The sequence below is a fragment of the Homo sapiens genome, chromosome 13, assembly GCF_000001405.40.
Source record: "Homo sapiens chromosome 13, GRCh38.p14 Primary Assembly".
Classification (NCBI taxonomy): domain Eukaryota; kingdom Metazoa; phylum Chordata; class Mammalia; order Primates; family Hominidae; genus Homo; species Homo sapiens.
Genome location: NC_000013.11, coordinates 77,670,874 through 77,685,224, shown reverse-complemented (window position 1 = coordinate 77,685,224; position 14,351 = coordinate 77,670,874).

Genomic DNA, 14,351 nt, shown 5'->3' with positions numbered 1-14,351 from the left:
ATTGGCCCCCACTCTCTTCTGGCTTGTAGAGTTTCTGCCAAGAGATCCGCTGTTAGTCTGATGGGATTCCCTTTGAGGGTAACCCGACCTTTCTCTCTGGCTGCCCTTAACATTTTTTCCTTCATTTCAACTTTGGTGAATCTGACAATTATGTGTCTTGGAGTTGCTCTTCTCGAGGAGTATCTTTGTGGCATTCTCTGTATTTCCTGAATCTGAATGTTGGCCTGCCTTGCTAGATTGGGGAAGTTCTCCTGGATAATATCCTGCAGAGTGTTTTCCAACTTGGTTCCATTCTCCCCATCACTTTCAGGTACACCAATCAGACGTAGATTTGGTCTTTTCACATAGTCCCATATTTCTTGGAGGCTTTGCTTGTTTCTTTTTATTCTTTTTTCTCTAAACTTCCCTTCTCACTTCATTTCATTCATTTCATCTTCCATCGCTGATACCCTTTCTTCCAGTTGATTGCATCGGCTCCTGAGGCTTCTGCATTCTTCACGTAGTTCTCGAGCCTTGGTTTTCAGCTCCATCAGCTCCTTTAAGCACTTCTCTGTATTGGTTCTTCTAGTTATACATTCTTCTAAACTTTTTTCAAAGTTTTCTACAAGGCTACAGTAACCAAAACAGCATGGTACTGGTACAAAAACAGAGATATAGATCAATGGAACAGAACAGAGCCCTCAGAAATAACGCCGCATGTCTACAACTATCTGATCTTTGACAAACCTGAGAAAAACAAGCAATGGGGAAAGGATTCCCTATTTAATAAATGATGCTGGGAAAACTGGCTAGCCATATATAGAAAGCTGAAACTGGATCCCTTCCTTACACCTTATACAAAAATTAATTCAAGATGGATTAAAGACTTACATGTTAGACCTAAAACCATAAAAACCCTAGAAGAAAACTTAGGCAATACCATTCAGGACATAGGCATGGGCAAGGACTTCATGTCTAAAACACCAAAAGCAATGGCAACAAAAGCCAAAATTGACAAATGGGATCTAATTAAATTTAAGAGCTTCTACACAGCAAAAGAAACTACCATCAGAGTGAACAGGCAACCTACAAAATGGGAGAAAATTTTCGCAACCTACTCATCTGACAAAGGGCTAATATCCAGAATCTACAATGAACTCAAACCAATTTACAAGAAAAAACAAACAACCCCATCAAAAGGTGGGCGAAGGACATGAACAGACACTTCTCAAAAGAAGACATTTATGCAGCCAAAAAACACATGAAAAAATGCTCATCATCACTGGCCATCAGAGAAATGCAAATCAAAACCACAATGAGATACCATCTCACACCAGTTAGAATGGCAATCATTAAAAAGTCAGGAAACAACAGGTCCTGGAGAGGATGTGGAGAAATAGGAACACTTTTACACTGTTGGTGGGACTGTAAACTAGTTCAACCATTGTGGAAGTCAGTGTTGCGATTCCTCAGGGATCTAGAACTGGAAGTACCATTTGACCCAGCCATCCCATTACTGGGTATATACCCAAAGGACTATAAATCATGCTGCTATAAAGACACATGCACACGTATGTTTATTGCGGCATTATTCACAATAGCAAAGACTTGGAACCAACCCAAATGTCCAACAATGATAGACTGGATTAAGAAAATGTGGCACATATACACCATGGAATACTATGCAGCCATAAAAAATGATGAGTTCATGTCCTTTGTAAGGACTTGGATGAAATTGGAAATCATCATTCTCAGTAAACTATCGCAAGAACAAAAAACCAAACACCGCATATTCTCACTCATAGATGGGAATTGAACAATGAGAACACATGGACACAGGAAGGGGAACATCACACTCTGGGGACTGTTGTGGGGTGGGGGTAGGGGGGAGGGATAGCATTGGGAGATATACCTAATGCTAGATGATGAGTTAGTGGGTGCAGTGCACCAGCATGGCACATGTATACATATGTAACTAACCTGCACATTGTGCACATGTACCCTAAAACTTAAAGTATAATAATAATAATAAAAAAAGAAACATCTTTCCATGGTAACAAATGTACTTCTAAAGCATTAGTTTTAATGGATCTGTGATGAAGAAATACAATTTATTTAATCTTGTGCTTAGGACACACAGGAGACACATACCTTAATCTTCCATAAGGATAAAATCTCTGCAGTTCTACTGAAAACTCATAGTCCTTATATAAGCTTTCTAAAACTCATCTTCCTGATATTGAAAATAGTGATATAATTCTTGTTATAATTTATTGAGTATTGGATACAAATGCTTTCATTCAATGTATTAATAATAAGTATTGCCTTCCCATTTTACCAATGAAAAAATTAAAACTATATATTCGTTAACTAGCAAGTCAAGGTAAGAATTATAAGGAAAGTATGTTGAACACTGTATCCTGTATAATAAACCATCCTGTTATTAGTAAAAAAAAAAAAAAAAAAAAAAAAAAAGAATGAGTTAGGGAAAATTCCCTTCTTATGTAATTTTTGGGGAAAATTTCAGCAGGATTGGTACCATTTCTTCTTTATTTGCTTAATAGAATTTGGTTGTGAATCTATCTGGTTCTGGGCTTCTTTTTTGTTGGAAGATTTTTTTATTACTAATTCAATCTCACTACTCATTATTGATCTGTATAGAATTTGTATTTCTTCCTGGTTCAGTCTTGGGAGGTTGTATGTTTCCAGGAATTTATCCATTTTCTCTAGATTTGCTGGGTTATGAGCATATAGTTGTGCATAGTAGTCACTGATAATATTTTGTATTTCTGGGGTATTCGTTGTAATGTCTCTTTTTTCATTTCTGATTATGTTAATCTGGATCTTCTCTCTTCTTGGTTAGTCTAGCTAGTGGTATATCAATTTTGTTTATCTTTTCAAAGAACCAACTTTTGTATTTTTTTATATTTGTATTTTTTTGTCTCAATGTCATTTAATTCTGCTCTGTTCTTTGTTATTTCTTTTCTTCAGCTAGCTTTAGGTTTGGTTTGTTTTTGGTTTTATAATTCCTTGAAGTTCAACATTAGGTTGTTAATTTGTAATCTTTCTATTTTTATGTAGACATTTGACACTATAAACTTGTATCTTAGTACTGCTCTTGCTGTATCCTAGAGGTATTGATATGTTGTGTGTCATTCATTTCAAAAATTTTTAAATTTCTGTCTTAATTTCATCATGGACCCAAAGTTCCTTCAGGAGTATGTTGTTTAATTTTCATGTATTCGTATAGTTTCCAGAGTTCCTCTTGGTATTGATTTCTAGTTTTATTCTGCTGTCGTTTGGGAAGATACTTGATATGATTTTAATTTTTTTCAATTTATGGAGACTTTTGTGGCTTAATATATGGTCTGTCTTTGAGAATGTTCCATGTGCCAATGAGAAGAATGTATATTCTACAATTGTTGGGGAAAACGTTCTGTATATATCTATTAGGTCAATTTGGTCAAAAGTCTAATTTAAGTAGAGTGTTTCTTTGTTGATTTTCTGTCTCAATGATCTGTCTAGTGCTGTCAGTAAGGTATTGAAGTCCCCCACTATTATTGCACCTTATTCTTTAGGTCTAGTAATATTTGTTTTATGAATCTGGGTGCTATGGTGTTTGAAGCATACATATTTAGGATTATTTTATTCTCTTATTGAATATATCCTTTATAATTTTATAATGCCTTTCTTTTTTGTTTGTTTGTTTTTTACTGTTTTGAATTGAAATCTGTTTTATCTGTATAAGTATAGCTACTCCTGCTCAGTTTTGGTTTCCATATGTGTTGAATATATTTTTCCACCCCTCTACTTTCAATGTATCTATATTTTTAACCAATAAGATGAGTTTCTTGTAAGTGGTATATAGTTAGATCATGTTTTTAAATTCATTCTGCCAATATATATCTTTTAAGTGGAGCACTTAATCCATTTGCATTCAATGTTAATATTGATAGATAAGGTTTTATTCCTGTCATATTGTTCATTGTTATCTAGTTATCTGGTAAATTCTATTTTTTTTTCTCTGTTTGCTCAGTGGTTTGGTGGAGTTCTGTCATAGTGCCATTTGATTCCCCTATCTTCCTCCTGTGATTTGTAATTGTTGTATAAGACCTGAGAGTGTTTACTTTCGTGTATTTTTATAATGGCAAATATCACCTTTTTGTTTCAATATATTGGACTCCTTTAGCATTTCCTGTAGGTCCACTCTAGTGGTTATGAATTCTCTCAGTGTTTGCTTATCTGGGAATGACCTTATTTCCCCTTCATTTATGAAGCTTCTTTTAGCTGGATATAAAATTCATGACTGATAGTTTTGTTTTTGTTTTTTTTTCTTTTTTCTTTTAGCACTTTGAAAACAGCATACCATTCTCTTCTGGTATGGAAGGTTTCTAATGAGAAATCTGCTGTAGTTTGATGGGTTTCCTTTGTAGGTAACTAGACACTCGCAATTTTAGGATTTTTTTCTTCATATTGACTTAGACAGTCTGATTCCTATATGTCCTGGCAAAGTCTATTCTGCGATGTGTTTTGCTTGTGATCTTTGGGCATCCTATACCTGGATGTTTAAATCTCATGCTAGACTAGGGAAGTTTTCATCAATTGTTTCCTTAAGTAGTTTTTCTAAACTTTTTGCTTTTTTTTAATCCCTCAGGAATACCAAAGGATTGTAAGTTTTGTCACTTTATGTAGTCCCATACTTTTTGAAGGTTTTTTTTTTATTCTTTTAAATACTGTTTTATTTATTTTTCTTTGACTGGATTAATTCAAAAGACCTGTCTTCAAGTTCTGTGTCTCTTTCTCCTGCCTGGTCTAGTCTACTGTCGAAGCTTTTAGAAGTATTTTGTAATTACTTCAACGAATTTTTCTTTTCCAGGAGTTTTGTTTGTTTTTTAAGATATCTATCCCTTTGGTAAATTTCTTGTTCATATTTTGAATTGATTTTCTGATTTCTTTGTAATGGTTTTCAGATTTCTCTTGCATCTCACTGAGCTTCTTTAAAATCACTATTTTGAATTCTTTATCTGGCATTTTTTAGGATTTCTTTTTGGTTAGGATTTATTTCTGGAGAATTACTGTGTTGTCATAATACCTTACTTCTTAATATGATTATTTATTTTCATCTAAACAGTTGCTTATTTTTGAAATTACTTTCATTGGGGTGGGACCTTTTTTCCTTGAGGATGTGATTATGATATATGTTGAGTAGAGCCATTTGGCATTGCTTCTGGGTGTATTCAATGGTGAAGATCCTGTATTATTTCCTTGATTATAAATAGCCATATCAGTGTGGTGGTTTATCAAATGTTGGTTGTAGTAGTGGAGTACTGGACAGGTGAGCAGCCTCATCGACTCTTGAGTAGCCAGGGTGGCATGGGCAATGGTGATAGCAGCGGTCACAAGAAGCTTATCTCCTTCTCAAGTGCTGTGCATTTGTGTCAGCACATGCTGTGATGGGCTGTGCAGGTCAACCTCCAAGCCAGTAGGTAGTGGGTATTTGCAGGTAAGAGCAGCTGAAGTGGTAGCGATATGGTTTATGCTTGATTTTTGTTAACCAGAAGTACTTGGGTGTCCCAGGCAATGGGCTGGGCATGGAACACTCAGTGTTCTGGGTCCTGTGCTCAGCCATGGTGGGGAGTTTGATACTGGATGGAGCTGATCTTGGCAAGCCTGCACTCAGGTCCCCCAGTAGTGGTTGCAGGCACTAGCCCTGCTGGGGGGATCCAGAGGCAGTCACTATGCTGCTGGAGAAATGCCTGGGCAAGGAGCAGAGCAACCACTGCTGCACCAAAGTCCCAGGAACAGGAGCAGAGAGTGACGCTGCCACCAAGGTCAGATAAACAGGAATGAGACAGGTCTCTCCCTCACTCTCTAGACCCAATTGGGCTCACTCTCCAGACCCAATCGGGCTCACTCTCCTTTCCCTACCAATGGAGCCAGTTGGAACATTTAGTCACATGCAGTCTGCTTTCAGTCCTCAAGGCCATCCAAAGCTATAATACTCATCATCTGAGCCAAAACCATGCCTCTCAGGCAAATCTCCCTCTGCTCTCGTCCCACGAAAAGGGGGTGCCCAATTCCAGTGCCCATGGCTGGAGCCCACACTCCACTCATCTCTCAGTTCTGGCTGTGGGGCCCCTCCTCTGCTTGAAACCCAGTACTCCAATATCCAGACTGAAACTCTTATGCCAACAGCTGCCACTGCTGCTAAATTCCAGGATTCTGCATGGCTTGCTGTGAGCTAGCATCAAGAATGGCACTGTCCTGTCAGCACCCAGGCCTGAGAAGATGCTTTGGAGGCATTCCAGGGCCGTTTCTTCTCACAGTTTCCAGGCTGCTTCCCATGTTAGCTCTAGAGCTTAGGAGAGTCAAGGTCCTCTCCCATGGCTAGGGTTGCGCAGTTCTCCAGTGGAGAGATGAATCACAAAGAAACACTCACTCACCCTTTCCTGTACTGGGGATTCACTCACAGTTTTTAGCCAGACCCCACCATGCAGGCTGCCTGCCCACTTTCTCTTTCCCAGTATCTGAAATTGTCTTTCGCTTTTCTGTTGAATTCTCATGTTTCTTCTTGAATGAAATTTCACAGTATGACTCTCTACACACTATTTTGCTTCTTCCAAGTGAGTGAGACATGCTACAAAAGCCTCTAATCTACCATCTTGGAAAAACAAAAACAAAAACAAAACACCGGAGTGTATTTTCTGACTGCTGATGTCTTTCATCAACTCTGAAAATTCTCAGTTTTTATCTCATTTCTTGTTGCTTCTGCCTTTTTCTCCATTCTTTTCTGCAGCGGTGGGGAGGGGGGTGGAATTTCATGGTTGTGTCTGTGTTTATTCACTCATTCATTTATTTATATCTATCTCTATATCGATATATCTTTATATCTCTTAATTAATCTTTCAAAATTTTTCCTCTTATTCTCTCTGCTAAATTCTTGGTGAATTCATTGGTATTGCCCCTCAATCTATTTGTATTACTTTGATAATTCCAGTTTAGAGTTTGTCCAGTCTACTGAGTTGTAAAAATTACTTTTGTATGATTTCCCGTTTCCTTGAATCATGCTATCACTTTATGTATCTCTTTGTTGACTTTAAACATACATGTTCTAAAGTATTTTTTAAATGGCACTTTTTAAAAAATTTTATTATTATTATACTTTAAGTTTTAGGGTACATGTGCACAATGTGCAGGTTAGTTACATATGTATACATGTGCCATGTTGGTGTGCTGCACCCATTAACTCGTCATTTAGCATTAGGTATATCTCCTAATGCTATCCCTCCCCCCTCCCCCCACCCCACAACAGTCCCCGGTGTGTGTTGTTCCCCTTCCTGTGTCCATGTGTTCTTATTGTTCAATTCCCACCTATGAGTGAGAACATGCGGTGTTTGGTTTTCTGTCCTTACGATAATTTGCTGAGAATGCTGGTTTCCAGTTTCATCCATGTCCCTACAAAGGACATGAACTCATCATTTTTTATGGCTGCATAGTATTCCATGGTGTATATGTGCCACATTTTCTTAATCCAGTCTATCGTTGTTGGACATTTAGGTTGGTTCCAAGTCTTTGATATTCTGAATAGTGCCGCTATAAACATACCTGTGCATGTGTCTTTATAGCAGCATGATTTATAATCCTTTGGGTATATACCCAGTATATACCCAAAGGATGACCCAGTATATATCCAAAGGATGGGTCAAATGCTATTTCTAGTTCTAGATCCCTGAGGAATCGCCACACTGACTTCCACAAGGGTTGAACTAGTTTACAGTCCCACCAACAGTGTAAAAGTGTTCCTATTTCTCCACATCCTCTCCAACATCTGTTGTTTCCTGACTTTTTAATGATCACCATTCTAACTGGTGTGAGATGGTATCTTATTGTGGTTTTGATTTGCATTTCTCTGATGGCCAGTGATGATGAGCATTTTTTCATGTGTTTTTTGGCTGCATAAATGTCTTCTTTTGAGAAGTGTCTGTTCATATCCTTTGCTCACTTTTTGATGGGGTTGTTTGTTTTTTTCTTGTAAATTGGTTTGAGTTCATTGTAGATTCTGGATATTAGCCCTTTGTCAGATGAGTAGGTTGCAAAAACTTTCTCCCATTCTGTAGGTTGCCTGTTCACTCTGATGGTAGTTTCTTTTGCTGTGTAGAAGCTCTTAAGTTTAATTAGATCCCATTTGTCAATTTTGGCTTTTGTTGCCATTGCTTTTGGTGTTTTAGACATGAAGTCTTTGCCCATGCCTATGTCCTGAATGGTATTGCCTAGGTTTTCTTCTAGGGTTTTTATGGTTTTAGGTCTAACATGTAAGTCTTTAATCCATCTTGAATTAATTTTTGTATAAGGTGTAAGGAAGGGATCCAGTTTCAGCTTTCTACATATGGCTAGCCAGTTTTCCCAGCACCATTTATTAAATAGGGAATCCTTTCCCCATTGCTTGTTTTTGTCAGGTTTTTCAAAGATCAGATGGTTGTAGATATGTGGCATTATTTCTGAGGGCTCTGTTCTGTTCCATTGATCTATATCTCTGTTTTTGTACCAGTACCATGCTGTTTTGGTTACTGTAGCCCTGTAGTATAGTTTGAAGTCAGGTAGCATGAAGCCTCCAGCTTCATTCTTTTGGCTTAGGATTGACTTGGTGATGTGGGCTCTTTTTTGGTTCCATATGAACTTTAAAGTAGTTTTTTCCAATTCTGTGAAGAAAGTCATTGGTAGCTTGATCGGGATGGCATTGAATCTATAAATTACCTTGGGCAGTATGGCCATAAAATGGCACTTTTATTTCTATTTTGTCTAAAATTATTATATTTCCCAAGGTTTGATTTTACTTTATATCTTTCTTGGTGTTAATTTTATTTGTATATTTTAGAATGTTGCTTTTTAGATCCACCTTGACTTGGTGCTATTTTTCTCTTATCTCTCTTCCTCCTCTCTGTTTAGAGTTTTTGTGGTTGCCTCAGCCCAGCCCCTAGGACTCATAGTCCAAAACCAGATCTTTTTCTAATGGCTCAGTGGTCTTATCCACCATGATATTGGGATAGTTTGGAGCTAGATGACATGTTGGCTAGGCTTGGTCTTGAAAGTTGAGTCTGTCCTGCTGTTTTTCCTAGTACTCCGATTCTTATAAGCTATACCTTTGGTCAGCAACTGGCAACACCTTTTTTTTCTGCCTGTTTTCCTGGGGTAGGAGAAAAAGAAAGGAGGGAGGAGAGAGACTTGCCACTCCACCCTACTTCTCCCTGGACCTGGAGACTGATATCCTTACTGCTTCTGCTGCTTCTGATACTGAGAAAGGCAGTCATGGGGCTTCAGTCCAACATTTCTCTTAAGTTCCTCATTCATAAAGAGTATTATCCTTTTTTAGAATTTTATATTATGCTTTGCTCCCATGGTTATACGTTTGGACGTGGAGGTCTGTGAGTGATTCAAAGTATAAACTTTGAATGTCCTTTTGACAAGAAGTCTACACTATTTTATTATCTATTTTTAAACAAGCTAAATATTGCATCCTAACCCCATGCCACAGTAGAGGTCGGACTACGTGTTTTCTCCCATGTTACAGCTTCAGTTCAACATTAGCCTCTAGTGCACACCATACGCTACTTAATCAGCATGCCTCATCCTCACTCAAAGAATAAGAGGAAGCTACAATGACTTTAAACTTCTCCCTCTTATACAAAAACAAAAAGATAAATTACATAAGACATTTTTCATATAAAAGAAAGATTACATTTTTTCACATTCATTCAGATATAGTGGTTTGATGTCCTGAATAAATTTGGAAGAGTGAAGTGGGCAGTGGTTGCAGCTTGCCTCTCTGCTACTGCCTCCTAGAAGTTGTAGCCTCATGACTATTGTTTCCGCATACTGGTCATCAGCTAGGAAAAGCCTATAAAAATAAAGCATTGTCTTACCCTCCTCCTCCCCACAAAAAAAAAAAAAACCCACTGTTTAATAGGAATTATAATGGATTTTGAAATCTAAGATAAATGATACTTCAAAAATAAACAGCTTAGAATCATACTTGTGATGTTGTTCTCCCTTTTTTTTGGCAAAGAATGGAATTGAGAAGATGAAGGAGGTTTACATTTGGACTTGTTTTAAATTTTAAGAAGCTGTTCTTTTAAATTTACCATCTGTTACTTCAATACTTCAAAGTGTCTATGGTAACTGTTCAGGGATACCAGACAGAACCATGGTGTAATTGGGTATGGCATGACCCCTACTGTGCCTTTCTCATGGAGGAAGACCAACTCATTGTGAGTCTCATCACATTACAAGAGAGTTTCCCTGCAAATATGTTAGCCTTCTGGTTAATGCACAGCAGAGATAAGAATTAGCCATAGACATTTTTATAAGCCATTTGAATTACAAGGTACTAATTCTGAGAAGAAAATTCTACCATCCTTCTGAGGTGAACCTCCATGCAAACTACAGTATTTCAACATTTTATGGCAGATCTTAAATAACACCAAGTAAATATGTTTAAGCCAAACAGTTAGTCTTTGATTAAGAAAGAATGATCCAGTTTGCAGATTCCATTGTTTTCTTGAGATACTTTTGAGTTGAAGAAATTACCAGAAATACACTGGGTTTTTTTAAACTTTTATTGTAAGTTCAGAGGTACATGTGCAGGATGTACAGGTTTGTTGCATAGGTAAAAGTGTGTCATGGGAATTTTTGTACAGATTATTTCATCACCCAAGTACTAGGTATCCATTAGTTATTCTTCCTTATCCCTCCTGCCACCTCTCTCCTCCCACACTCCACCCTTAGATAGACCCCAGTGTGTGTTGTTCCTCTCTATGTGTCCATGTGTTCTCATCCTTTCGCTTCCACTTATAAGGGAGAACATGCTGTATTTGGTTTTCTCTTCCTGCATTTGTTTGCTAAGGTTAATGACCCCCAGCTCCATCCATGTCCCTGCAAAGTACATGATCTCATTCTTTTTTATGGCTGCATAGTATTCCATAATGTATATGTACCACATTTTCTTTATCCAGTCTATCATTGGTGGATATTTAGGTTGATTCCATGTCTTCACTATTGTGAATGGGACTGCAGTGAACATACATGTGCATGTGTCTTTTAAAAATTTTCGATTTTTTTTTCTATAGGTTGTTGGGGTACAAGTGGCATTTGGTTACATGAGTGAGTTCTTTAGTGGTGATTTGTGAGATTTTGGTGCATCCAACACCTGAGCAGTATACACTGTACCCTATTTGTAGTCTTTTATTCCTCACTGCCCCCCCCGTCCTTCCCCCAAATCCCCAAAGTCCATCGTACATTCTTATGCCTTTGCATTCTCCTAGCTTAGTTCCCACATGTCAGTGAGAACGTACGATGTTTGGTTTTCCATTCCTGAGTTACTTAACTTAAAATAATAGTCTCCAATCTCATCCAGGTCACTGCAAATGCCGTTAATTCATTTCTTTTTATGGCTGAGTAGTATTCCATCATATATATATATATAATCAGCAGTTTCTTTATCCACTCATTGATTGATGGGCATTTGGGTTGGTTCCACGATTTTGCAATTGCGCATTGAGCTGCTATAAACGTGTGTGCAAGTATCTTTTTCATATAATGACTTCCTTTCCTCTGGTTAGATACCCAGTAGTGGGATTGCTGGATCAAATGGTAGTTCTACTTTTAGTTCTTTAAAGAATCTCCACACTGTTTTCTCTAATGGCTGTACTAGTTTACATTCCCACTAGCAGTGTAGAAGTGTTCCCTCATAACTGCTTCCATGCAGACATCTACTGTTTTTTTATTTTTTGATTATGGCCATTCTTGGAGGAGTAAGATGGTATCACACTGTGGTTTTGATTTGCATTTCCCTGATCATTAGTGATGTTCAGCATTTTTTCATATGTTTGTTGACCATTTTTATATCTTCTTTTGAGAATTGTCTATTCATGTTCTTAGCCCACTTTTTGATGGAATTGTTTGTTTTTTTTCTTATTTGTTTGAGTTCATTGTAGATTTTGGATATTAGTCCTTTGTCAGCTATATAGATTGTGAAGATTTTCTCCCACTCCACTGGCTGAATATTTACTCTGCTGACTGCTCTTTTTGCCATGCAAAAGTTATTTAGTTTAACTAAGTCCCACCGATTTATCTTTGTTTTTATTGCATTTGCTTTTGGGTTCTTGGTCATGAAATCCTTGACTAAGTCAATGTCTAGAAGGGTTCTTCCTATGTTATCTTCTGGAATTTTTATAGATTCAGGTTTTAGGTTTAAGTCCTTAATCCATCTTGAGTTGATTTTTGAATAAGGTGAGAGACGAGGATTCAGTGGTTAGCCAATCATCCCAGCAACATTTGTTGAAAAGGGTGTTCTTTCCCCACTTCATGTTTTTGTTTGCTTTGTCAAAGATCAGTTCGCTGTAAGTATTTGGGTTTCTTTCTGGGTTCTCTATTCGGTTCCATTGGTCTATGTGTCTATTTTTATACCAGTACTAGTAGTGTGAGGTAGTGTGATGCCTCCAGATTTGTTCTTTTTGCTTAATCTTGCTTTGGCTATGCAGGCTCTTTTTTGGTTCTGTATGAATTTTAGAATTTTTTTTTCTAATTATTTGAAGAATAATAGTGGTATTTTGATGGGGATTGTGTTGAACCTGTAGATTGCTTTTGGAAGTATGGTCATTTTCACAATATTAATTCTACCCATCCATGAGCATGGGATGTGTATCCATTCATTTGTGTCATCGATGATTTCTTTCGGCAGTGTTTTGTGGTTTTCTTTTGGAGGTCTTTTGCCTCCTTGGTTAGGTATATTCCTGAGTATTTTATTTTATTTGCAGCTGTTGTAAAGGGGGTTGAGTTCTTGATTTGATTCTCCTCTTGGCCGCTGTTGGTGTATAGAAGAGCTACTAATTTTTGTACGTTAATCTTGTGTCTGGAAACTTTGCTTCTTTTATCAGTTCTAGGGGCTTTCTGGAGGAGTCTTTAGGGTTTTTGAGTTAAACGATCATATCATCAGCAAACAGTGACAGTTTGACTTTCTCTTTACTGATTTGGATGCCCTTTATTTCTTTCTCTTGTCTGATTGCTCTGGCTAGGACCTCCAGGACCTTGCTGAAGAGAAGTGGTGAGAGTGGGGATCATTGCCTTGTTCCAGTTTTCAGAGGAAATGCTTTCAACTTTTCCCCATTCAGTATTATGTTGGCTGTGGGTTTGTCATAGATGGCTTTTATTACATTGAGGTATGTCCCTCGTATGCTGATTTTGCTGAGAATGTTAATCATAAAGGGATGTTTCATTTTGTCAAATGCTTTTTCCACATCAATTGAGATGATCATGTAATTTTTGTTTTTAATTCTGTTTATGTGGTGTATCACATTTATTGACTTGTGTATGCTAAACCATCCCTGCATCCTTGGTATGAAACCCACTTGATCATGGTGGATTATCTTTTTGATATGTTGTTGGATTCAGTTAACTAGCATTTTGTTAAGGATTTCAGCATCTATGTTCATCAGGGATATTGATCTGTAGCTTTCTTTTTTGGTTATATCCTTTCCTGATTTTGGTATTAGGGTGATGCTGGCTTCATAGAATTAATTAGGGAGGGTGCCCTCTTTCTCTATCTTGTGGAATAGTGTCAAAAGGACTGGTACCAATTCTTTGAATGTCTGGTAGAATTCTGCTGTGAATCCATCTGCTCCTGGACTTATTTTGTTGGTAATTTTTAAAATACCATTTCAATCTTGCTGCTTGTTATTGGTCTGTTTGGGGTATCTCATTCTTCCTGATTTAAGCTAGGAGGGTTGTATTTTTCCAGGAATTTATCTATCTCTTCTAGGTTTTCTAGTTTCTAGCCTTGAATGATCTTTTATATTTCAGTGGTGTCAGTTGTAGTATCTCCTGTTTAGTTTCTTAATGAGGTAATTTGGATTTTCTCTCTTCTTTTCTTGGTTAATCTTGCCAATGGTCTATCAATTTTATTTATCTCTTCAAAGAACCAGTTTTTGTTTCATTTTTTTGTTTGTTTCAATTTCATTTAGTTCTGCTCTGATTTTGGTTATTTCCTTTCTTCTGCTGGTTTGGGTTTGATTTGTTCTTGTTTCTCTAGTTGCTTGAGGTGTGACCTTAGAATGTCAGTCTGTGCTCTTTCAGTCTTTTTGACATAGGTGTTTAGGGCTATGAACTTTCTTCTTAGCACCGACTTTGCTGTATCCCAGAGGTTTAGATAGATTGTGCCATTATTATGATTCTGTTCAAAGAATTTTTTAATTTCCATCTTCCTTTCGTTTTTGACCCAATGCTTATTCAGGAGCAGGTTATTTAATTTCCATGTATTTGCATGGTTTTGAAGGTTCCTTTTGGAGTTGATTTCCAGTTTTATTCCACTGTGGTCTGAG